This window comes from Homo sapiens, chromosome 15 (assembly GCF_000001405.40).
Source record: "Homo sapiens chromosome 15, GRCh38.p14 Primary Assembly".
NCBI classification, from domain to species: Eukaryota; Metazoa; Chordata; class Mammalia; order Primates; family Hominidae; genus Homo; species Homo sapiens.
The window spans coordinates 92,263,116-92,290,116 of record NC_000015.10 but is presented as its reverse complement, the minus strand read 5'-3'; the positions used below and the strand labels follow the sequence as shown (position 1 = coordinate 92,290,116).

At 41.4% G+C, this 27,001-nt stretch overlaps 1 long non-coding RNA gene and 2 pseudogenes across 1 annotated transcript; 1 reads left to right on the top strand and 2 right to left on the bottom strand.

Annotated features, from left to right (window-relative positions):
- On the bottom strand, nt 2,883-4,305 carry NPM1P5 (nucleophosmin 1 pseudogene 5; annotated as a pseudogene).
- Nucleotides 7,643-8,674, bottom strand: DUXAP6 (double homeobox A pseudogene 6; annotated as a pseudogene).
- On the top strand, nt 12,369-13,114 carry LOC107987227 (uncharacterized). Its single transcript, XR_001751663.2, has 2 exons — nt 12,369-12,490; nt 12,901-13,114. It is a non-coding gene; the product is annotated as an uncharacterized LOC107987227 (long non-coding RNA).
- The last annotated feature ends 13,887 nt before the right edge of the window (nt 13,115-27,001 follow it).

Below are 27,001 nucleotides of genomic sequence, written 5' to 3'. Positions count from 1 at the left end.
GAAGCAATGCTTCACCCAGACTGACACTCCATGGTGTGTGAAGTAGCTGAAAGAGCTTTTCACGAAATCTTTTGGTTTTCTGTCATGATAATGTTTTAAGAGACTGACATTGACAGCAGGGAGTAATATGCTGAGATGGGAGTTGCTCTTGTTTGAGCTGGAGGACTTAGGAAAGAGGCTGACCCATGTTTTATTTGCATAGTCTACACGGTATGATATGAATTATTAACATACCCACACATGCACAAACTTGACCTCACCTTGCCCTAGTAACCAAGAAAATGGCCTTATACTCGGCTGAAAGGGATACTGGAAATATAACGCAATAAAAATCAATCACTTAATGAATTAACAACAGCAATAATAACAAAGAAAGAAAGATGTGGCTTTTCCAGACCTTCGTGACTCATGTATTATATTTGCAATCTCGGTTCCTTTGTCTTCCTCTGCCCATTGTGACACCATAAACGTTGCAGATGGTGGCCAACATTAGACTCTTGCCATTGTCTAAATCTTGACATTGGCTAAATGTATTACCCCTTCCTTAACTGTAAGTGATTGCAAGTGGAAAGGCAAATATATCACAAGAAAAAAACCAATGAATAGGTGCCTGGAGCCATTTTTGAGAGTCCTGCATTGCTTCCAAGTTGTGCAGAAGTTATAAACTGGCCACACTCAAGGAAACTGCTTGGACTACAGGGAACATCACTGGAGTATCGCTTCTGAGTTTCTAGTCATTAATGTGTTCTGGGGCTGGAGGCCTGACAGTTGATCCCAGTGCATGAGTAGCATAAAAAGAAGGGTGTTCAAGCAGACCTGAAGTAGCTCCTTCTTTTGCTGCACCTGGGATCTTTGCTACATGGGACAAGTGGCAAATCTCAGCAACAGCAAGTTGCCTTTTGGTTGAAAGTATAATTCTCATTTTTATGCAACAGATGGTTATGGTTGTTACTTTTGCTTGAAGTAAATCCGTAAGACAGAAAATAAGCCCAAAAGGTCTAGAGGGGAGAGAAAAAGTTGAATATTAAGAGCTGAATCTAATTCCTTAGAAGCTGAGCAAGAATTAGGAGAGGTGACCTATTCTTTTTAATGGCTGTTGGTTTTTGTTTAGTTTCAGTTTTGTTTTTGTTCTACATAAAGATCACCCTGGGGATCTTTAATAGGTATTTGAGCAACAACTGTTTCATTTTTGGTTTTTGTATTCCTGACTGTAACGCCTACTGCTTACAAGCCTCTGATTTAAGAATGGACTGCTCATGCTGTGCTGCTTTTTAAAACAAGTCCACCTCTTCATCTAATAGGTCCTAATTACATTTGAAGGCTGGTTGGGTGAATAAATTACAAGGCCCTTCACTGGGTGGTGTAGTGTTGATCAGAAGAACAAAAATCTATTCTTAGTGGAGGAAAGAAATGTATTGGGTTAAATCATAGAAGTATAAGACGTAGGAGGTTAAGGGGTTTAAGGAGGTTTGACCATGCAGTTCTGTGTGCTTCATTTATTCATTTATTTATTGAACGAGCATATATTGGTCTCTGTATTAGCACTGTTTCAAGTGCTTGGCATCTACATAAGCGAAAAAGCAAAATCCTTCTCCTTCTGGAATTCAACTTGTAGTGCAAGAGACAGACTCTAGGTGTGAATATAATAAATAAATACATTAATTGCATGTTTGAAGGGATATGCACAACAGAAGAAAGAAACATACAGAGCATGGTAGGAAGGATCAGAAGTCCCCAGGGTGGGAGTGGGGAGGAGTTTCAAGATTGCCCAGAATGGTGAGGCTGAGAATCATCTAGAAGGTGATGTCTGAGCAGAGACTTGAAGTAGGAGAGGGCATTGAATAGGGAGATATCTGGAAGAGTGTACCAGGCAGAAGGAATAGCCAGTGAAAGACCCCAATGCTGGAGCATGCTTGGCACCATCCCGGGAGTGGCAGGAGGCCACTGTGGCTGGAGTCAGTAGACCAGGGGGTAAGTGAGGTCCAGAGGAAATGAGGGGGCCAGACCACACAGAGCCTTGTAGGCTACCGAACAACATATTTCACTCTGAGAGAAACGGGGAGCCACATAGAGTTCTGGGCAGAGGATTGATGTCATTTGACTTAACATTTTAAAAGAATTAGTTAAGTCGCTCTGTTACAAATAGAATGTTGCAGGGTCAAAGGCAGAAACCAGAACCAGTTAGAAGGCTATCGTAGTAACCTGAGCCAGGGGAGCAGCCAGGAGGCAGTGGGAAATGATCGGGTCCTGGGTATATCTTGAAGGCAGAATCAGCTTGGTTTCCTCATGAATTGACTACTGGGTATGAGCAAAGGAGAGAGAAGAGGATGACACAATTTTTGGCCTAAGTACCTGGAAGATGGAGCTGCTATCATGAAAATAGTGGAAGCTGAGGTTAAAACAGGCTTTGAGGGAAGGACCAGGAATTTGGTTGTGGACATGTTGTGTGTAATATATCTATTAGATGTGCAAGTTAATATCTGATAGTAAGAGTTGGATCTATGAGTCTGGACTTTGGGGGAGAGGTTGAACTGGAGATGGAATTTTGATAGTCATAAGCAAGAGGGTGGTATTAAGTTCTTGGAACTGGATGGGAAGGAGAAAGGACAAGGTCCAAGAACTGAGCCTTGGGGCACTCCAACATTGAGATGTCCAGGAAAAGGGGTAAATTACAAAGAAGACTGAGAAAGCACTGTGAGGGAAACAGGGAAGTGGGAAGAAAGTCAAGACTTTGGTGTCTAGGAAGCTGTATTATGGAGGAAACAGTGATCAACGTGCTACACTGAGTATTGCAGATGCAGCAAGCAAGATGAACCCCAAGGGCTGACCACAGAATATTGAACCAGAAACAACAAACATAGGCGTCTTTATTTTTATTTTTAACTTTATTAAAATACTGAGTTTTATTTCACATGTATAATTTTATCTCCCCACCATTTCCATGTCTGACCACCGCTATTACTATATCCTATCATAACATTCCATACATACTTAAAAAACCAAGCAAAGAGTGGAGTTCCATCTTAAAAAACTAAACAGGTATTTTGGACAACACATTCTTGGCAATGGAACCTAGACAACATTTATCAAACACGGTAGGGAAAGTTCTCACTCTGCATTATAAAAAGGACAGCCAGATATCAACTGTTGCAGAAATGAAATAAGACAGAAAATTTTTGACAAATTGTTTAAACTATTTTTCTTTTTTTTTTTATTATTATTATACTTTAAGTTCTAGGGTACATGTGCACAACGTGCAGGTTTGTTACATATGTATACCTGTGCCATGATGGTGTGCTGCACCCATTAACTCGTCATTTAGCATTAGGTATGTCTCCTAATGCTATCCCTCCCCCCTCCCCCCACCCCACAACAATGAGAACACATGGACACAGGAAGGGGAACATCACATACCGGGGACTGTTAAACTATTTTCTTAAAGAGACTTCCTCCACTGCCAGAGATCTTGAATAGCCTCCTGGTAAATCCTCCGGAAGCAGTTCTTCACATAATTGAAGAACTTGGCTTCCACTTTGGGAAAAGAAAGACCTTTTTCTACATTTGCTTGCATTTTTGCTTTAATGTCTTCTACAGAGCTAGGTCCTTTTGGTGTTTTAGGAGTTTTTTCCTGTTTTTTGAAAAATTCTTGTCCTTTTGTTCTTGGTGTTAATGATGGTTTTGTCTTTTCTATTCTGATTTGACTTTTGTGCATTTTTTGGCTGGAGTATCTTGTATAGATTTCTTCACTGGTGCTTTTCCTTCAGTTTCCTCATCATCAAAATCATCATCACCATCATCTTCATCAGCAGCAAGTTTTACTTGTTTCTGTGGAACCTTGCTACCACCTCCAGTGGCAGACCGCTTTCCAGATATACTTAAGAGTCTCACATCCTCCTCCTCTTCGTCTTCTGACTCTGCGTCTTCCTCCACAGCTACTAAGTGCTGTCCACTAATATGCACTGGCCCTGAACCACACTTCAACCGTAAGATCACTGGTGGTGTTATTTCAGAGTCCCCAAGGGAAACCGTTGGCTGTACAGACATTTTCAAAGTTGCCAGTGTTACTTTAATTGGACTGCCTTCGTAATTCATTGCCTCTCTTCGACAATGTCCAATTCATCCTTTGCACCCGCCCCTAAACTGACTGTTCTTAAAAATAACTGGTGTCCATTTTCATCATTATCCACCTTAAAGTGGTAATCTTTGTCGGCCTTTAGTTCACAACCGAAAAGATAGTTCTGGGGCCTCAGGGGGCTCATGTCCACATACATGCCCATCGAATCTTCCATCAGGTGGCGGCACACACTTAGATGGGAGAGAAGGTGGATGGATATAAACAACCACTGCTCAAGAGAACAGCTGCGCAGGACGGAATCACACAGGGGAAGCATCTTTATTTTTTTGAGGATTTTTTTTTTTTTTTTTTTGCATAGAGGAGGGCAAAGAAACAGGACAGCAGCTAAAAGAAGAGGAAGTTGGGTATACATATATATATGTGTATATATACACATACATAGAATATATATACATATATACACATATATGTAGAATATATATACATATATAGAATATATACACATATATATATACACATATATATAGAATATATATACATATATATATATAGAGAGAGATGGAGTCTTGCTCTGTCGCGCAAACTGGAGTTCAGTGGCACAATCTCGTCTCACTGTGACCTCCTGGGGTTCAAGTGATTCTCCTGCCTCAGCCTCCTGAGTAGCTGGGATTACAGGTATGCACCACCATACCCGGCTAATTTTTATATTTATAGTTGAGACAGAGTTTTGCCATGTTGGCCGCACTGGTCTCGAACTCCTGACCTCAGGTGATCCTCCTGCTTCAACCTCCCAAAGTGCTGAGATTACAGGCATGAGCCACTATGCCTGGCCAAGAGAAGAATCTTTTTCAGATGAGAAAAATAACTACAGTTTTGTATGCTGATGACAGCAATCCAGTAGAGAGAGAAATAATGATGAGGCAGGAGAGACAGGAAAGAATTGCTTGGATGCTGTGAGTGTCTTGCTGGCTGCAGAGTGGAATAGTTGCTGAGAGATCCAGCTATGAGGTGGCATGCTAAGGAAAGTAGAAGAAAACTGAAGGAGGCTGAATTGCTAGTCATGATGGAGTTGCCATCTAAGTCCAGGATTGCCTGCTTCTGGATCTTTATTTCTTGAAGAGAAATAAACTTCTCTTTTTTTCCAACATGTTATTAGGAGAAATTTCAAACATGTAGGAAACTGGGAATAACTGTATAGCAAACACCTGCCATCTGGTTTCTACAATTAACATCTCTCTACACTTATTCTGATATACCTATCCATCTCTCTATCCATTAATTTCTCTTATTTTTAGTGCATTTCAAAGTGAGATTCAAACATCAGCATATTTCACCCCTAAACACTTCACCATGTATACTGCTACCTAGAGTTTAATATCTAGTTATATTTCTTTTTTCTTTAAGATAAAATTTACCTAAAATGAAATGATCTAATTTTACTGTACTATTTGATGAACTTTGAAAGATGCATGCACCTGTATAACCCAACCTCCATTAACACATGGAACAATACCCTTACTCCAGAAAGCTCCTTCATTCCTGTTTCCAGTAAGCCCCGGCCTCCATCCCATCCCCAGAGGCAACTGCTATTCTGATTTCCTTTTTCATCATTGATTAGTTTTCCCTATTCTTTAGATAAATGGAATCACATCATAAATACTCTTTTGTGTAAGGCTTTTTCACTCAGATAAAATGTTTTTCCGATTAAGCCATGTTGTTGTATTTATCAGTAATTCATGGCTTTCTGCTGCTAAGCAGTATTCCACTGTATGAATATAATATGGTTTGTTTATCCATTCTGCTATCAGTGGTCACCTGATCTGTTTCCAGTTTCTGCCTATTGTGAATAAACCCACACGAACAGTCTTGTACAATTAGTTTTAGGGACATTTGACTTCATTTTCTTGTATAGAATTGCTGGGTCAAGTAATAGTGTATTTGTCAGGGTTTTCTAAAGACAGAATCAATAGTGTGTGTGTGTGTGTATGTTTGAGTGTATGTGTGAGGAGAGAGAGTGAGAGAGAGAGAGAGTGTGTGTGTTTATTTTAAGGAATTGCTTCACATGACTCTGGGGTTGGCAAGTTTAATATCGGCAGGGTAGGCCAGCAGGGTTGGCCAGGGAAATATTAAAGGTGTAGCCCAAATCCAAAGACAATCTGGAGGCTTTCCTCTGTTTGGGGGAACATCAGTCATTTCTCTTAAGGCCTTCAACAGATTGAATGAGGCCCATCCACATTACAGAGGGTCATCTGCCTTATTCACAGTCTACTGATTGAAATGTTAATCTCCTCCAAAAAATAACTTCACAGCAATATCTAAATTGGTGTTTGACCACGTATCTGGGTACCATGGCCTAGCCAACTTGACACATATATGCTTAGTTATTAAAGAAACGATCAGGCCAGGCACAGTGGCTCACACCTGTAATCCCAGCATCACCTGACCTCAGGAGCTGAAGGCCAGCCTGGCCAACATGGTGAAACCCTGTCTCTACTAAAAATACAAAAATTAGCAGGGTGTGGTGGCACCCGCCTGTAATCCCAGCTACTTGGGAGGCTGAGGAGGGAGAATCGCTTGAACCCGAGAGGCGGAGGCTGCAGTGAGCCGAGTTCGCTCCACTGCACTCCAGCCTGGGCGACAAGAGTGAGACTCCATCTAAAAAATAAAAATAAAATATAAAAAAATAAAGAACTGAGCAGATATTTTTCAGAGTGGTCACACCATTTTACGTTTCTACCAACAACGTACACAGATTTCAGTTGCTCCACACCTTTCCCGCCATTTGATGTTACTCGTTTTAATTTTATCCATGCTAGTGAGTGTTGATTGGTGTCCTATTGTGGTTTAAATTTGCATTTTCAATAGCAAATGCTTTTCAGAACCTTTTTCCATGTTTATTGGCCATGCACGTATCTTCTTATTCACATGTTTTTTTTTTTTCCTCCAGTTATTGATTCGATTGTTTGGCTTTTATTATTGAGTTTGTATTGAGTTGTTTTTAGTAAATATTGTTTTCCTATCTGTAGTCTAGTATATATTTTCTTCATGATGTCTTTTAATCAAAAGTATTTAATTTTGATAGTCTAATTTATAAAAATTTTCCCATTTATGGTCACTGCCTTCCTGTAACCTGTCTAAAGAAACTCTGCCTACCCCCAGCTTGCAAAGATGTTCCGTGATTTCTCCAAGAAGCCCTATAATTTTACCTTTCATAATTAGGTCTCTGATTTATCTTGAATTAGTGTTTGAGTGTGGTATGAGGTAAGGGGTCAAGGTTTGTTGTTTTCCATATGGATTTTAGTTACTCCAACCCTATTAGTTGAAAAGATTTGACACCTTTGTAAAAATCACGTTCTGTAACTATAGGCCTATTTCTGAACTCCAGTCTGTTCTGTTGATCTATTTGTTGATCTTCATACCAGGACGAGTTTGTTGATCATTATAGCATTATAGTAAGTTTTGATTTAGATTGTTTGTCTTCTAACTTTTCTCTTCTTTTTCAAGATTGACTTTGATATTTAAGTCTTTTGAATTACCATATACATTTTATTTTTATTTATTTATTTTGATTATTAATAAGTTTATTTTCATTGTCTCAAGGTCCGCTGAACTCTGGATCCAGGCTGTGTCAATAGGGTAGTGTGGTGCCTCCTGTACCTGTCTCTGCCTCCTACAGTCCTTTTTATTTATTTTATTTCATTTTTTATAATAGAGACAGGGTCTTGCTATGCTGCCCAGGCTGGTTTTGAACTCCTGGGCTCAGGCAGTCTTTCTGCCTCGGTGTCCCAAAGTGCTGGGATTACAAGCATGAGCCACCGCACCTGGCCGTGTCCTTTACCATCTTCAGAGGGCTTAGCTTGCAGTTTCAGCAGAAGGATAGACTCCCAGGAAGACTGTGAGAGAGATTTGGGGCCCAAGTTGATAATATCAAATACACTGAACTTGACTGTGTCCACCACCTTCTGGCTCTATAGAAATGAGAATTGCTAGTGAGGTTGGTGCCATTTTGTGTATCTTCTGTACCTTGATGTCCCTCAGAAATCTTGCCCCTGGTCTTCTTGTTCTAAGGACACAACAGGTTCCCTGTTTCTCTGGAGATGAAATCTAGATCTTCAGTTTTGGAACCAGATTTGGACTCTTAACTCTGGAACACCAATTTCTTCAGCAACTTGTTCTCTGGAATCAATCCCAGGGTATGGGCTTTTCATAGATGCCTTGATGAGAGTGCTTAATTGAGAGGCGCTGTAGGTGGTACAACACCATCTGGCTTCTCTACTTTGAAACTCTGCATCAGGTCGATCTTGCCCATGGCTCTGGCTTGATTCTAAAGTCCCAGGTTCTGGTCTTTTCTGGAATCCAGCTCTTCAATTCTGAAACCAAATCTGGATTCTGGACTCTTCCGTATTGATTTCTAAAGCAAGTTTTTGTTTGGTAGCATAACCTGGGTAAGGTTTTTGATTGAAGGTATTGATGAGGATTTTCAACTGATCTGTGATTTTGGTGAGACTGCGCCTGTGATTTGTTGTCACCATCTTATGTGAAGAGGTGTCTTCAGCCATGCTGGAAGAGAGTCCTGGAGGCTGAGCTACTGTCAGGGAGGCAAGAATTACCATATAAATTTTAGAATCAACTTGTCAGTTTCTATAAAAACCCAGGTAAGATTATGCTTGTGATTAGTTGAATCTATATATCACTTTGGAGAGAACTGCCATATTAAAAATGTTGAGTATTTGATCCATGAAAATGGTATGTTTATTTATTTAGCTATTTTTTATTTCTCTCAGTTATGTTTCGTAATTTTCAATGTAGAGATATTGCATGTATTTACAAATTAAATCCTAAAATTTTTATGTTTTTTGTGGTATTCTCTGTTTAATTGTTTTTATTTAATTCCATTTTCAACTGTTTGTCACTAGTACATAACATACAATTGATTTTTGCATGCATATTTTACATGGTCTGATCTTATTAAATAAATGTATTAGTTTTACTTGTTTTGTAGATTCTCAAGAATTTTCCATGTAAACAATCATGTCATCTTCAAATAAAAACATTATAGTTCTTAAATCTATGGTACACTAATATTTTGTTATTTGTAGCAGTATGTAATCATTTCTAATCATGTGAGTAGCACTAGTGAAATTTTGACAATGAACGAATGCCAAACACAATGGAGTTTGTTACAACATTGTTTATAGTTTCTAAAACTGTTTTCAACCAAATGTTCAACAGTAGAGGATTAGGTCAGTAAATTTACAGTACATAAACTTACGATGAAATATTGTGGAGCCATTCAAAGTCTCATTCTTGTATAGTCTTTAAGGGTATAGGAAAATTCTGATGTGTCATGTGGAAAACAACACTCAAGATACTAAATAATCAGAATACACTAAGTTATTCTGTGTTAAAACAAGAATTTCATAGTCTTGGTGTTTTAACACAGCAAAAGCTTATGATTCATAGGGATCAGCAGTCACTATGGATTCTCAACTGATTGTGCTCTACCATCTTGGGGCTCCAGCGTTTGAGATATGTGGCCCTTTTAGTTAATGCTACAAAGAAAGAGAGACTGGGGAATAACCAGGTTGTTCTAAGACTCCAACAACATTCCTGGCTTGCTGTCCCTGGAAGGAAGTTTATCTTATGAGCTACCACTGCCAACACACAGAGCACCTACATACCTACTATCACAGTAAACCAACGTGTTAATCAAATAATGGCCTGAGTTCCCAGAGTTCACATCATTTAAGTGTGCTGTGCACACTAGCCTGCTGATTCTCCATGTGGAGGAAGGAAGCATATCAGAATTATGTAGATAGATTATGTTTTTTATTAATATCTTTATCTAGACAGCTTTTACTGGAGATTGTTATACTTTTATTGGGAGTGGGGAAATGGGGCACTGGAAGAAAAAAAGGGAAACTGGGTATATGTATTTTGAAAAAACATTTTCCAAGGGACTATGATATGTTACTCCTCAAACCACTGATCTCAACTTTTCTTCATAAAAATGAACAAAAATTAGCAGCTTGAAGAGGTGGATCAAGCAGAGTGCCAGAAAACAGGAATTCAAACACACTGAATTCATATTTGCAGTGAGATTGGGAAAGAGATCATGTTTATAAAACAGGAGCAGACAGCCATGGGAAAGGGCAATGCTGAGAAAAAACAGATCTTGGAAAAACACATAATTTCCAAAAGAAAAAATAGCCTAAATATCACAATGGATACTTCAGAAAAAGTCTTAGAAATCAGACCAACTAATGTTATTCTCTTGGAATGCAAAAGCAAAAGTCAGAGATGAGAATTACAAATGAAAAGATAAATTAATCAAGCGATTAATAGAGATAAAAGATAAAAACAATCAATAGAGCCATAATAATAAAAAGATAAAGATAATCAAGAATAGAGCTAGGACTCAGTCAGCAGAATAGAAGTTCCAGGAGGAGAAACAGAAGAAGATGAAGAAGAGAAAATTAAAGAAATTATCTGAGCTGATATGACTTCAATAGTATCACCATGTGAAACCTCGCCTGTTTTTTTTTTAGTGTAAGTTCAGGCCCAAAAGGTGGAGGGCAGGAAACAATTTTGGAACGTAAGTCACAGCAGCTAACTGGTCAAAAGCCTAAGCTGATCATCCTAGCTCTATTTTTCACCACCTTTTTCCTGTTCCCCTTACCTTCTGCCAGCAACTCTGATGAATGAGTTTCCTTCCTGGTGAAATGATGCCAGCCTTCATTTCCACAGGATCCAAGCTCTGGGTGGTCCTGTCTTTACTGGATTTCTGCAATTTTCCGCCAATACGGTGAACCGTTGTCTACCAGACAGTCTCACTTGCTTCTATTGCACGACAGCAACCCAGTTTCCCCGTAGCCATTGGGATTAATTACCCCAGTCAGTAGAGTGACTCCTCCGCCTGTTAGTTTGGTGGTATGAGAAATAATGTGGTTGGGGTTCAGTGTCAAGCTATAATTTTATTGATATATCGCTGTGATCTCTAGCGGGAGTTTTCTTACCTTAGGCACCAGACACTCCAACCCCATCAAACTCAAGGTCATAACAAGGGAAAGCAATTCTTCAGTGGATTGTTTGGTAAAATAGGGAGAGAGACAACTCCCACATCCACACTTTACCTCCCAGACTCATGCATTCTGGCTATTGTAGTGGCCCTGCATATTGGCTGCTAATTAAAGGCATCTACTACGTCCTGTAGGGTAGCTCCCCAACCTTGCAGAATGTTGTTTCCCCCCAGTTCTTGTAATCAAACCTTTGCCATTTTATTAAGGCAGTTGCTTCTAGGTGATGGGGCACATAGTAAATCTCAAGGCTATACTTTTTTTTTTTTTTTTTTTTTTGAGACAGAGTCTCACTCTGTCGCCCAGGATGGAGTTCAGTGGTGCGATCTGGGCTCACCGCAAGCTCCGCCTCCCGGGTTCATGCCATTCTCCTGCTTCAGCCTCCCAAGTACTGGGACTACAGGCGCCTGCCACCACGCCCAGCTAATTTTTTTTTTTTTTTTTGATTTTTAGTAGAGACAGGGTTTCACGTGTTAGCCAGGATGGTCTCGATCTCCTGACCTCGTGATCCGCCCGCCTCAGCCTCCCAAAGTGCTGGGATTACAGGCGTGAGCCACCGTGCCCAGCCAAGGCTATACTTTTTTGCTATAGAACAACTGCTTTGCTGGAGACTATGTTGTTTGGGGTAACGTGGCAGCTGATAAGGCACCAATCATGATGCATGTGGAAGCACAATAGGCAAGAAAAGTAAGTCTATTAACAGAATAGGCATTTATCATGGTGAGGCCAAATTTGTTGCCCCCTCCATGATGAAAGGAGCAATGGAATCAATGTGTCCTATGTGGCTGCTTGGTATACTCAGGGATTAGGGCCATACTTGCCATTGGCTCATAGGGAACTCAGTGGTGTCAGGAACCAAATAAGCCTCGCTGGGGAAAGTCCAGGCTTCTTGACCCCAGCCATACCTTCAGGGCCACTTGGGATAAGAGCCTGAGCAAGCACTGGGGTGGCTGGGGAAAGAGGCTAACTGGCATCCACACTTAGTCATTACTGAGAGCTGGCACTGGAGTGGATGCCCTCTGGTGGGCATTTTTGTAAGAAATGATTGTCTTCTCTGTGCTCATTCTGAGAGACCCACCCACACATCTCTAGCCCAGGCTTCCCTATCACCAATTTTCCAGTATTGGTCTTTCCAAGTTTCTAGCCAGTCACTTACCTGTTAACCTCTGCCAATGACAATGTTGAGCCTTACTCCTGCTCTTCTCTTCCAGGTGAAATAGGCAGCCATCTGACTGTACTACCCAAAGTCTGCCCAAATGAGGATTTCCCTTCACCACTCTTTGAAGGCCACTCCTAGTGGATTTTACACCCTGAAAACCCCTCCATAAACTGGAGACTGGTGAGCAGGAATTCCCTATGAGGTCATCAGTGTGGGTAGAGGGAGAAGTAGTGAAGCATAAGGAAGAGGCACCTTGACGGGGAGAAAGCTACGTGCTCATGCCATTTACTTGTACCTTCTGTACTTGTTTGAGTCAGTCTCATTTAGATCTTTTCCATGTAACTACAGGTGCTGTGCCCACCTCTATGATCTGGTGACTCAGATGCTACCCAGTTCATGATGGGAAGTTTTCCTTACCGTGTACAATGAGCACACTGTTACTGAGGGAGTGCCCACACATGATGTTCTATGGGATATCAAAATAATCAAGATCCCTGTGCATTATATTATGACAAAGAAGCAGGGGAGTTATCATGGTCTCAAGGGAAAACATGTGGAGACAAATCTCTTCCGGTTATCTTTTTCAACAGAAATCGAAGAAATGGCATTTGCTGTGTTAATAGTTGCATACCTGTAGCCAGTGGCTGTACTGATTTTCTCAGTAAATTACCACATCTGGAACCAAAGCTACAGTTGTCATCCTCACCTGATTAAGTAGGTGATAATGTACAGTTATTCTCCAGACTTATCTGAGTTTTGTACAGGCCCAACAAGCTAAATAAATGGCCACTATGGTAAGACCCAGGACCCCTGTCTTTCTCAGATCTTTGATGATGGCCTTCTACATGCTGGAACTGGACAAATGAATCAGGGTGGGTCCCACCAGACCCACTGAGAAATTAATTCAATTTCTAGGGCTTGACATCGGCTCAGAGATGACTCTTATAGCCCTTGGAAAGTCTGGATATTTCTTTTTCCTTACTGCATAGTCACCCTGGAAATAAATGCAGGGCCCTCTGAGGAAGGCCTGGAGGTAGATGCACACTGTATACATGTGGTCGCACTATAGAGTTCTTCCTCAAAGAATCCAGCCTACTCTGGTTCTGTGTACTGGCCTAGGTCTGGAAAGTGGGCAAGAGGCCATGGAATCCCATTACAGTGATTCCATGTATTAGGATTCATTGTATTAGGATTCTGCTCACCAGAACCAGAAAGTTTCTTTCCACATGAGTCAAGTACACTTGAGTAAGTCTACCCATCGATTTCATTTCTAGGGACCCTACAATTCAATTAGTCATAGATGCTGTGGGTCAAAATACTTCCATTGCCACAAAAGACACCCCTGCTCATTTTAGAAATTGTGTCTATGTTGTTGCTCATGGTTAAGGGCTTCCACTCTGCTCCTGGAGCTACTCCTGGTACCAATTACAATGTTAGTCTAATCTTGTCAAAAAATAGATGGAAATTTCAGAAGGGTGAATGGGGAGAGTCTAACAAAGGAACCCTTTGCAGAGGTGCTGTTGGGTTAAGGGAACCCAATAAGACATGGTGAAGCATCCCAGGCCCAGGAAAAGTAGGGAGCTGCCACCTGCACATCCCCTGACCCCCAAGGCCTGAAAGGCAAGGAGATGGATGGTTTTCAGAAATGGTGGTGTGGGAACATCTAGTAGAATCTGTGGTCTTTGGTAGAGAAATGAAGCTACTGATGAGTTACTAAGGAGGATGCCGGGAAAGCGTATTTGCTGAATTTCTCCCTCTTCCCCCACCCATACCCCTTTAGATTTCCTGAAGGTCCTTCCCATTGGCTGACCGCAACCAATAGCCAGAGGGCAAAAAAGCCACCCTTCTCACACAGAGCGGGTTAGAAAAGGTGGACAGTGTGGATTTGAGGGTTGAACCGAGAAGAACATCCAGGGCAGGTGCTTTATCTGCCCTGGATAAAGCCCTAGATATGATTCAGCACCCATTCAAGAGCAAACTATTAACAAACTGTGGATTTAAAAAATGTCCCTAACTGGGGCCAAATAATCTACCAGAAAACAACAGCAAAACTTATACCTATTGGTGGAACTTTAAAAGAATTTCCATTTAGAAGCATCAATTTGCATAAACTCTTAACAGTGCATATGCCCATGTATGTCTTCCAATAATTTATTCTAAAATAATACTCATTCACAGAATTGATAGTACATTTATGTTCATTGCAGGATTCTTCATGAATGAAAAAAATGCTGGATGTGTTCAATAATTAAAGGTTAATGTAATAAAGTATAGCATAAACATACAATGGAATGCTGTGTTAAAAAAATTCTTTGTTGTTTTTCAGTTTACAATTAGCCTTTCCTGTGCACCTAACTATAGATCAGGCATGATCAGTCACTTTTTTAAAGTTCCATTTAGTCTTCATTATTCTGTTTGGTTTAACAGCAGCCATTTGTTTTTCAGTTTAAACACTTTTACGAAAGAGCTAGCCTTCTTAAGACATCATCATTGAGGCTGTAGGATGTCCAAGATTATTAAGATATAATCTCTTCCCACAAGGAACTCCCAGCTGAAGAGGACAAATAAGATGCCTGTATAACACACAATGTAAGAACTGTTATAGAAAATGATAAAGGAGAGGACTCCGGAAACATGCAATGGAGAGGGCTTTCTTTTGTCTGAGGTTGTAAGGAAGGCTTCCTGGAGGAGGAGGTACCTGTTCCGTGTCTCCACAATTAGGTATGATTTGACAGGTATACACAAGCAAAGGGCACCCAGATGGGGGAGCAGAATGTGTTGGAGAATAGGAAGTGGTGTGGCTTGGCAATGTTGTTCTTCATTATAATTGTGGATTAACAGAATTTTATTGAATAGCCTGGGACCTTCACCATCATTGTTTCTATGAAAAAGAAATGTTCTAATCTTTTAGACAATGCACTTTGAAGTGAAAACGTCTTTAGCAGTGAAGGCCTTTTTATATCATCTTTGAGTCTTTTGTGAGCACAGTTTAATCTGCCAATGATAATAATGCTGACTTTCTTTAACGCGCCACTTGCTGTTGGATTTCATGAGGTAATTTTTAAAGCAGGTGCCTCCTTATTGCTTATGTTGAAGATTTGGTCACGGAATATTTTGTTTTGTTTTTGTTTTTGTTTTTTTTGAGACGGAGTCTTGCTCTGTCGCCCAGGCTGGAGTGCGGTGGTGCAATCTCGGCTCACTGCAAGCTCTGCCTCCCGGGTTCACACCATTCTCCTGCCTCAGCTTCCCAAGTAGCTGGGACTACAGGTGCCAGCCACCACGCCTGGCTAATTTTCTGTATTTTTAGTAGAGATGGGGTTTCACCGTGTTAGCCAGGAATGTATGTTTCTCCCTGGGATCATCCCTTTGGGGCCAATAGTTTTTTATCAGCAGCATGTCATTTTATTTGAGGTTTCTTATAGCTGTTTAACAAGGCATTCAGTTGGAAATATATCTTGTAATTTTAATTGTCGATCACCACCCCTGGTAGGAGGGCCTTCCTCTTACCATATGGAATACAGATGTGAAGAGGATTGAAAGAGGGCAAATATAATGACCATCAATCAGGAATGTTCCAGGCTAAGGAAGAAGAGGAAATACCTGAGTGTTATCTAAATGGATGAATATGACAGCTGTTGGCCACAGGCTAGTTAGGATGTAAGAACAGTAAAAATTGAGATGTGGAAACATGCTGGAATAAAAAGTCCTTTGGCAAGATTAATACATGGAACGTGGCTTGTTCAAGGGAGGCACATATTTAGGTACTCTGCTGTCTTCTTGTAAAAGGCTGCTTGACGGGCATGAAGAAGTTCTTGAAGCAAAGCAGGTGCTACTTTTGCACAGCTGTGACCCCGAGTCTGCCAAGCAGCGGTCAGGGATGCAGCTGCTTCTTGTAATTAATCATCCCAGGCGGGCTCTGCTGCAGGTCTGCTTGCAGTTCTGTGTCCTGGGTCTTGATTGTGTCTTTTGACCACATTGCCTGGGACAGGTTGACCCTAGAGAGTGCGACAGCAGTTTTCTGGAATGTGATAAAGGGAAAAGGGGCCAGGCAGGCAGTTATCAGAGCTGGGAATAGTGCAACTGCTCCTTCAATGCAGTTGGTAGGAAGAAGCCTGGGTTGGTGCTCCATCATTATGCAGCAAACATGTGCAGAGCCGGTGGTCACAAGCATTTATCTTCAGCCATGTACATCCACTACATCCAGTCCTGCCACAGTGTCCTTGGGGTGCTCCAGCCAGAGCAGGATGGATTCCTGGAGTAAGCGTGAAGGCTGGCCCTGTAGACCTGCCGCCATCTAATCCCAATGGGACTTGCCAACCTGCCTTCCCCTGGTTCTGACATCTGGCATATCTCATGTGCTATAACAACTGAACTGCTTGCTCTTCCCCATGTTTCCTTCATGTCTGCCTTGACTCATTCTATTCCCTTTGCCCTGGAAGCTATTCCAGTGATACTATGCCCTAGAATCCAAATCCTACCTCTCCCTCCTCAAATGTCCCCTCCTCCACAAAGCCTTCCATACCTTTCCCAGCTGGGAGAGAGAGGATGCCTCTTCAAGTCATCCCATCTCTTGGCTCTTTATGTGCATGGATGTCAAATAATAATATCCTTTGTGTGGACTTGGCTCACCATAAGACCGATAGCTTCCCAAGGGCAAACTACTCACCTGGTTCACAATCCCTTGTACAATGCCTGAGAAAGTGTAGGTCCTAAATGTGTGTTTAGGGTGCAATGATCTGTTTTTTCCCCTAAAATGTTTCCAACCTGTTATCCTCTTTAGGGCCCGTTTTGTGTCTTGCAACTGATTGTCACAGCTGACTTGTTAATTTGGCTAAGTTTTTGTGAACTTTAGAGCTCAGCTAGCCGTGAAGGGCAGGAAAGAAAGCATGCATTTACTGAGCACCTACTTTGTGCCAGATCCTAATATGATATCATTGTCATACCCACTCTCCAAGAAAGATCTAAGCAACCCTTCAACTTTTATACATTCAAATTCCATACAACCTGTCCTTTGGTATGTTGACACCCTTAGCTGCCTCTTCTGTGTCCAGTTTATATGTTACCCAGTGAACAGAAATTTGTGCTTATCATGTGAGATCATTGCCACCAGCCAAAAGACCCTAAGCAGAGACCAGGTAGATATCAGGCTCTGGAGGTTGCCTCCTTTTCCTTGGGCTCCAGTGCAGTTGCCACTTAGCCTCCACAGGGTAGGGCCCATCTGGAATAAAAGACAGCTCTAAGCACCCCTTAGACACCAGATGCTCTGATAAGAAAGTGATAGAAGACAGCAAATTCCAAGGAAGAGGCCAATGAAGGGAACACAAATAGTCCAGCAAAGGGAATGCACCAACAGGCTGGAATTCTCAAGCTCATTGCATTTACAGGGGAAGCTCCATACCAATTATGCTGGCCCAATTTTGTCCTGGGCTTTGTCAACATCAGCTCCCTTTCTCATCCCCAGTAGGTAGGGGAGGCAGGAAGCTTTGAAATGTGCTACCAGGGCAACACAGCTTATCAAGTCTTTTATGAGTCATCTCTTGACACTGCTCTTGCACCCTACTTTGCTGCAATGCTGCAATGCTGAGCATCCATCATGTTCGCTTTCTTCTCAGGCTTTGACTCTGCTCCTCTTCCTCCTAGAAAATTCTTCCCCTCTTTACTTCCCCACTCTTACTCTCTTTTGTCAGGTTAAAATCTATTCGGGCTTCCCCTCTCAGCTGAAGCACCACGTCCTCCAGCAAGCCCTCTGTCCTTCCTTAACTCTTATGTTGTCCTCATGGAAGGCCTTGTGACACTCCACTGAAACTACCTTTTCTGTCTCTGAATCTAGATCTTGCACTGCTTTAAGGCAGCTACCGTGTTTTAAGCACCACTTTATTTCTAGCACCTGGCATCTGCACACAGAAGGGACTCAAGGAATATTTGATGGGTGAATGAATTAATTAATGAATTTCTGCATTGTCCTGCATATTTTCAGTGAATGGCTTGCTGTGTGGTAATGGGAACTATTAGAGGAAGTTATTTGTGGACTGGCATGAGCAGGTTTTCGCATCTCTGTGGGCCTTACAACATGAATGAGTTCAATTTTCCTAAGTCTGCTTGCAAAATTCCTAGGGCCTCAATGCTCAGGATGAAACTTTTGTTTTTGAGTAAGGCCCTCCAAAGATTCACCATCAACCTTGACTGATGAAGTATGTAACACTACTTTGGCTTAAATGTTTAAAACAATGATATTTTCTGTTCTCTGCATGTACCTATCCTAAGCCCCAAATATGGGGTCACTCATGGTCCCATGAAGTTTGTATGTTACAGAGCTGATGGCCACAAAGACACATTAGCCAACAGCTATAGGAGTGGAGCTTCTAGGAGACAAGATTCTGGTTCACAGCCATTATGACTATTCCTGAGGCTCTGAGGAGTGAGTCATACTCCTTGGCTGGGTTCACTTCCAGGTGAGAAAACCAATGAACCCCTGTTCATGCTACCTCACGTGGGAGCACAGTCTCCAGTACTGGGGTGGTTCAGAGAGGCAAGGATACAGCCTGAGAACACCTCAACAGGAGCAGTAAGCCAAAGTACAAGCTGTTGTTTATTTTATTTTAAATAAAGATTAATTCCCAAAATTTCAGGTGCATCTTTGAGAAATCTGTGCATACGAGCTGCAAATCTACTCATACATTCATATTTTGTATTTCATTCTCAAACCACAGTGAATAAATTTGGTAACTAGAGGATCCTACCCCTCTCCCAATTGCTCTGAGTCCCAAAAGAAGCAATCAGTGTTAATGCATTTCTATTTTTCAAACATGTAGATGTTTTAGCATAATGGTAATTATAGAGTAATGATTTCTTATCTTCCTATTTCCTGTTAATGTTATCAGGATGAAAATAACATTTTTAAAACCATGATCTTTAAAAAGGCTCATTTTTATTTTCAATTTAATGCATAATTATTAAACAAAAATTTTGGATAAATGAGCAAAATTTGAAAGAGTTGCAAACATGACTAATGCCTACATTTTGCAAAGTTTTCTTCCAGGTGTTCCTGGGTAGGACATTTTTAAAATACAGCTGTAATCAAGCTCTAGGTGCAGTCTGTAGCCTTTATTAAAAACTTAGCCTAGAAAATATTTTTGTTATAATACCATAATAATAATAGTTATTATTATTTTTTGAAATGGAGTCTCACTCTGTCACCCAGGCTGGAGTGCAGTGGCGCAATCTCGGCTCACTGCAACCTCCGCCCCCTGGGTTCAAGCGATTCTCCTACCTCAGCCTCCCTAGTAGCTGGGACTATAGGTGCCCACCACCACGCCCCGCTAATTTTTTGTATTTTTAGTAGAGACGGGGTCTCACCATGTTAGCCAGGATGGTCTCGATCTCCTGACCTTGTGATCCGCCCACCTCAGCCTCCCAACGTGCTGGGATTACAGACATGAGCCACCGCAGCCGGCTAATACCATAATTATTCATTGGTCTTCACAGACATAATTTTTAATGGCCATGTAATATTCTATTGACTTAATGCTGGGCATTAAATTGTTGACAATCTGTCACTTTTCCAAGCATCACTACAATAAATATCTCTCTTCCTTGTTTTCTTGTAATGACTTCCAATACCAATGTAGGTTGTTTTTAGTGATGATGATGGTTATTATCGTTTGCTTTTGTTTGGGCCCCCAATTCTGAGGCATCAGCTCTTTCTTCAGCAAATGGGATAGCTACCCTTTAAGAACAGCAAACCTTTATTGAGCATCAACTGGATTGCAGTTACTGGGTGTAAGAGCCTTTTGAAATCTGAGGGGAAGTTTGCATTGAAATGCTAGGGCCCTTGGGACTGGACATGAGCCAGGCCTTGTACAATCCATGCTCAGTGGAGATGGCTGCCTCTTGGCAAAGGACAGTGCCTGGCCACAGCTCCACTGCTAAGGGCAATGATGGTGACTCTTAGTACTGCACATCCTGTGCCATGGAAACTTAATATTCAAAAGTTCACCAACTTGAGGTTGATAAAGCCAGGATGCATTTTTAAAACATTTTAAAACCTTTTCAGAATGCAATAGGACATAAATAATAAAACAAGTAAACAAATTATCCCATTGAATACTATGGACACATCCACCCTGCAGAATCTGTGAGGATAAGCAGCCTTTCATATGCTTACCCACTTGTTGATTTATACCTACGGTTTTCATCATTGACTCTCTCATGCTTAATTTCCTCCTGTTTTCAATCTGAATCAACCTGTTTATGTCTAAAAGCCAGTAGCCTCATTGTATTACATAAGTGAGACAGGTCAGAGCTCAGGAGAGCTGCTGCATCTGGAGCAATAACGTATGAAGAAAGGAGTGGTTTGATAGAAAATGACCTTTTACTTTCAATTAAATTTGGCAAATAGAATACCCTCAAATTCACCCATAGTTCCAATTCCATAAAACAATCTCCCTTGTACGTTTCCTTCTAGGTTTCTTAACATGTAGATTATTTGTAACTAAAAATCATACTGTGCTATTATCCTGTTTTTCCTTATGCTTTCACAGTTAATCTTGTTTTACTGTTTTCCACTCCAGTCTGTAGACCAATGACTCTCAAAATGTGGTCCCTGGGCCAGGAGCATCAGGATCAGTTGGGAACTTGTTAGAAATTGCAAAACTGGTTCCCCTTCAGACCTACTGAACCAGCAGCTTTAGGGGCGGGGCCTATCCATCTGTGTTTATCAAGCTCTCCAGGTGGTGTGATGAATCCAGTGTAAGAATCACAGCTGTAGGCTGTCGTATTAAGCACCTCCAATGTGCCAGACATTCTTTTAACACTTGCTACCCAAAGTGGGGTCCTTGGAGCAGTGGCACAGTATCGCCTGGGAGCTTATTAGAAATTCAGAACCTCAGGCCCTTCCCAGACCTGCTGAACCAAAATCTGCAATTTTTTTTTTTTTTTTTGAGACGGAGTTTTGCTTTTGTTGCCCAGGCTGGAGTGCAATGGTGCCCTCTCGGCTCACCGCAACCTCTGCCTCCCAGGTTCAAGAGAGTCTTCTGCCTCAGCCTCCTGAGTAGCTGAGATTACAGGCATCTGCCACCATGCCCAGCTAATTTTTTTTTTTGTATTTTTAGTAGAGACGGGGTTTCACCATGTCGGCCAGGCTGGTCTCGTACTCCTGACCTCAGGTGATCTGCCCACCTCAGCTTCCCAAAGTGCTGAGATTACAGGCGTGAGCCACCCCGCCCAGCCCCAACGCTACATTTTAAGCGCAATATGAATCACCTGAATCTTGTTGTAATTCAGATTCTAAATAGGTGAGTTTGGAGTATGGCCTGAGAGTCTGCTCATTTCTAATGAGCGCTTAGGCGATGTGGATGCTGGTCGGTTTGCGGACTACACTAGGAATAACAAGTATGTGTTGGGTGATTTAATACTTTTACAAAATGCATGAACCTGAGCTTTTAAAAAAGGACCAGGTACTACACGTAAGCATCTTATAAGTTATGTGCTGGTCATAGCTTCCTTTCTGGATGAGAAAAATGAGACAGAGAGATGTACAGTGACTTCCCTGAGGTTGCACAGCTATTCCTGCTGGAGCCACGCACACAGGTATGTGACTCTTCACTGCTACAACTCGACTTCTACTGCATGATTTTGAACGTTGATTGAATTTAAAACACATTCAAAGGTGATAACTTTTGGGTGACTAAAAAGCAAATCAAAATCCAATCTGCTGGTGCCATAATCTTCTATTCTCTTAACATGCTTAGCATTTTTATCTCTATTTTTTGAGGTTTGCTAATATTTTATCATACAATTACCACATTCTCTTTAAATATGTGAATCTAAAGCTATTAGTTGTCTTATGAAGTGTGACTTTATCTTGAACATGACATTTTTCCAGAAGATTACATTTCCAGCTTTGCCCAGTGCTGCCGAGTCCTCTATTATTCCCCTCCAGGGGTAATAAACACACCTGAAACTGTTAGTGGCTTAGGCATCTTTTGATTAGAATCAGCTGCTATATTTCTGTGTGGATGTAAAGCATATCATTTTCTAAAGGGGGTGGTCAGAGGAAAATGCAGTTGCAGCTGCTTCTTAGTGTCTCATTCTGGAGTTAGCTTAATGTGCATGTGTTCGAAGCCTCCTGTCTGCTGTTGTGGTTTTGTGCAGAGCCTGGAGTAATGGATCCCAACCTCCTGGGAGGTGAGCTGGAGGAACAGCCAAAGTCCTGAAAGACCCATGTCATCACTGCTTTCTGTCCTGCTCTCTCAGCAAACACTCATTTTCTGAAAGGAATAGGTTTCATTCTCTACCTGTTACTGATGTGTCAGTCAGCTGCATGCAGCGTCTAAAGCTATTACCAAGGGAGGGGAGGGGGAAAAAAGCCCCACTGCACTTGTAAATTACATTTCATGTTAAACGATCTCATTACTTCCAAAGTAAGATGAAATACAATATAATTTTAGCATATGTCTTGGCAGCCCCTTCCTTTTTGATAGGGTGTGTTGGCGGTCGGGGGATGATGGATAAGTGGAGAGAAAGAGAGGCCCAGCTTGCTTCGTGTCATCAAGAGCTCAGTCAGTATTCAGTGATAAACATAAATAGATCATCTCGCCACCCCCGAGGCAGACTGGTGCATTTATCCGGACTGATAACCGAGGGGGTTCACAATACAGGCAATTGCAACACCAAGCTAAAGAAATGCAGAGGAGGATTCCATCGGACACGGTTGGCATCAATAACTCGCTGCTTGTCTGGGAAAGAGGTTGGTACATTCCTTCCTCAGAGCTTACTGCCCAACAAAGGCCAACCCCTCCTCTAATGGGCAGCACACTGACCCACACACCGTGTGTCTGTGCAAGTCTCAGTGGCCTGGACTTTTAAAAATGAGGTCTATGGGACTCATGGACACAGATCCCGTTGTTATTCCTCAGAAAGGGGATGTGCATTTGCTGAGAATCCATAATGAACACTCTCCTAGCATTATATCACCTGATTACCACCCAATTCTATTTACAGTGTGCTGAGCAAGGCAGAAAGGTAGTATTTGCCTTTGTGCTCTAATTCAGACACTCTGGTTATTCACACTGATTGCCACCAGATAAGGCAACCACAATCTAAAGACCTGCTTCAGGGAAGTTGGTAAACTGTCCTGTTGCTTTTTCCTCCCCTCTAGATTGTGTTCCCTAACTGCAGCTGGATTCTGAGCCACTAGGGCAAGCATTGTGTCCTGAGGGCTTCTGGTTTGGGTTTGTTTCCCACCCCTAACCTACCCCCCTCCGCCGCCGCCCCACATACTATGTGTATATACAGTGACTTATCCACAGTAAATACGTGAATACCTATTTAAATCTTCATAGAGAGTTCTGGTTATGTCGCTATTTATTCGACAATCTCGAATGCCTTCTCATGTTCTAAAGAATCAGGATCTAACTCCCTGACATGCCATACCAACGCCTTGATGTGACCTCAATCCCATTTTTGCCACCTATTCCTTTCCCCTGTGAACGAGTCAAACCGAAAGACTCAGTGTTTCAAAAGCTTTGCAGTTTTCTCTTGTGATGACATTTCCCTCTGCAGGGAATTTTCTTTCTCCCATCTATCAAAATTCTTCCTGCTTTTCAAATTCCAGTTCTGTTGCTGTCTTCCGCTTGAAGCCCTTCCCGAACCCCCAGTTTCCTCCAGAAGACCGTTGGCTACACAATTACTAACATAGATGCTTTGAGCCATTCCCATCCTGCTGCCCAACACAGCATTCTATCTGTGCTATTTCAGCTGTTCTAAAATCACTAGAGAGCCACTCTACCCCTCTGAAGATAGAATGGGCACATTTGTGAAAGAAAAGCAGGCAAACTGCAGATGAATTACTTTCTGCAGTGGTAGTGTTAAGGACTGGGGGGACTTGATGTGTTCTGAGCCCATTATGAAAAGAGGGGGTAGTAGAATTAAGTGGGGGCAGGAGGGTGAAGGTCTCATGTGACACAAGAGGACTTCTCCAGAGCCAGCTGTGTGGAGGGCTCCTAGAAGTTGCAGAGCACTTGAGAATATGACCATAGAGGGTGTCTGTTTTCTTGGCTTCTATGAAGTTTACTATGCTAAAAAATTATGTATTATGTTATAAAGTATAATAATCAGACACTCATAACCCCACTGCCCAACTTAAAAAAATAGAGCATTACAGAAACTATTCACACTTTCTGCATATTTTCTCAATTCTCTCTCCCTATCCACTCCAAAACCCTCCATCACCTGTCCTGCCCCACCAAATATAGTAACCAATATTCTGAAATTTATTATTCCATTGCTCTCATTATAGTTTTATCACTTAAGTATTTGTGTTTAATATCTTTATTTCATTTTTTTCTTGTTTTGTACTTTGTATAAAATGGCATCATATGGCTTGTATTTTTTTTAACTCAGATCATACTTTATAGATTCATCTCTCTTCATGTGTGTAGTTATAATTCATTTATTTGTATCTCTACATAGTATTCTCTTTGAGTACACCACAATTATCTGTTCATTATCGATGGGTACCTGGGTTATTCCCACCTTGCCATTATGAACACTGCTACTACTTAATATTCTTTGACACATCTACCTGGTCGTAAGTGCCAGAGTCAACACCATACCTGGATTTTACATTTTTATGTGGCATAATGCAGGGATAAATTCAATCTTTTTCTCAGATTAAAAATAAATCCTAACACTATTTATTAAATAATCCCTTCTTTCCCCAGAGATATGTCCAATTTCATAAATGTGTGGGTCTGTTTCTTAGCTTTTAATTGGTCTATTTTCCATCCACTCACTAAAATCCCTGTCATAATTAGGATTTATTTATGGTAAGTCTTGATATCTAGTAGTGAAGTCTATTCGGTTCCTCCTGGTCTTTTGCTTTTTTACATCCATTTAAAATTTGGCATGTTAGATGAATGATGGAACAAAAGGAACTAGATTTACTCTTCCATCTTAATACTTGAACATGGGTCATAGTAAAAATGTAATGAGAGTTCTCAGGTATTTGGAGAATAGAGATCATGGTACAGGGATCCCTGAGAGCAAGGAGAAAAACTAGGTGTCCCCTTAAAGTGCCACCATTTTCAGGCCAAAACACAAGGAAGGGTAATCCAGAGTCCATCAGCCTGGCTCCATTGATGTTCAGAAAAGCTAAGGTAGCTAGAATTTATGGAGGAAAATCCTAGAAAGGCAACTGAAAAGAGAGAGTGCTCCAAAGACCTTCTGATGTGTCCCCTGGAGTCTTTGAGCACTGATCTGCAACACGTGAAGAAACTACTGGGACTGGGGGAAAAAAACACCGGAAAGAAAGAGGAAGAAAAATTTCCATAGCTCACATGAGGCCAAGGACAGTTTTCATTCCCATCAGTTAGAGTGGAAAGACTTCCTAATAGACATGGCATTGGCAAGCATCATAAAAGAATAGTGTCTCAGGAGTTGGGGTCATGTTAGCCCTAGCTGAAAAGCTGTTGTGGATCTGCTATAACAAAGCTTAGAAACAAAATGTGAATGGATAAAACTGATTACAAATAACTTCACTGCATCCCCAAAATGGCCGAACAATATTTAAAAGAATGCCACAAAATCTAGTCCCCAAAGTAAAAAGTCGTCATGCCTGGCATCTAATAAAAAATTACCAAGCATGAAATGTGACTTGTACCCAGAGGAGAACTCAGTCTCAACCAATAGAAACAGACCCAGAATTGACACAGATGATAGAATCAGTAGACAAACACATTGAAACAGTTATTAGAAATATGGCCGGGCCTGGTGGCTCACGCCTGTAATCCCAGCACTTTGGGAGGCTGAGGCGGGCAGATCACTTTGAGGTCAGGAGTTAGAGACCAGCCTGGCCAACATAGTGAGACCCCGTGTCTACTAAAAATACAAAAAACTAGCCGGGCGTGGTGGTGGGTGCCTGTAATGGCAGCTACTCGGGAGGCGGAGGCAAGAGAATCGCTTGAACCGGGGAGGTGGAAGTTGTGGTGAACCGAGACTAGGCCATTGTACTCCAGCCTGGGCGACAGTGCGAGACTGCATCTCAAAAAACAAACAAACAAACAAACAAAAAACACCACATAGGCTCAAGAAGATCTGCCCGTGTGCTAAGGAGAGAAATAGAAGATATAAAAAAGACCCAAATCGAACTTTTAAAGATAAATGCAACAACCGAAATAAAAAATATCCTGTATGGGATTAGCAGGAGATTAGATACAGAAGAGGAAAAGTTGGCGCATCTATAGCAATAAAAACTACCCAAAATAAAAGACAAAGACTAAAAACAATGAATGAAGAGCATCAGGGAACTACGGAACAATGTCGAGTAGCCTAAATGCATGTAATTTGAATACCAGAAAAGGAGTGGGGAGAAAAAAATGTTTGAAACAATAACTTCAGAATATTTTTCAAACGAATACTGGAAACAGACCAAAGTAGCTCAATGGAAGCCAAGCAGGACACACATGAAGAAAACAAATGCCAGAGCATGTCATAACCCAATGGCCAAAAATAATGAAAAAGAGAAAATCTTAAAAGCAGTCAGGAAAAAAGATATACACAGAGGAACACAACTAAGAATTGTAGCAGACTTATCATCAGAAACAATGAAAGCCAGAATGCTGTGGAGTGACATTTTAGATTATTGAAAGAAAAATTGAAAACTCAACCTAGAATTCCATAGCCAGAAAAACA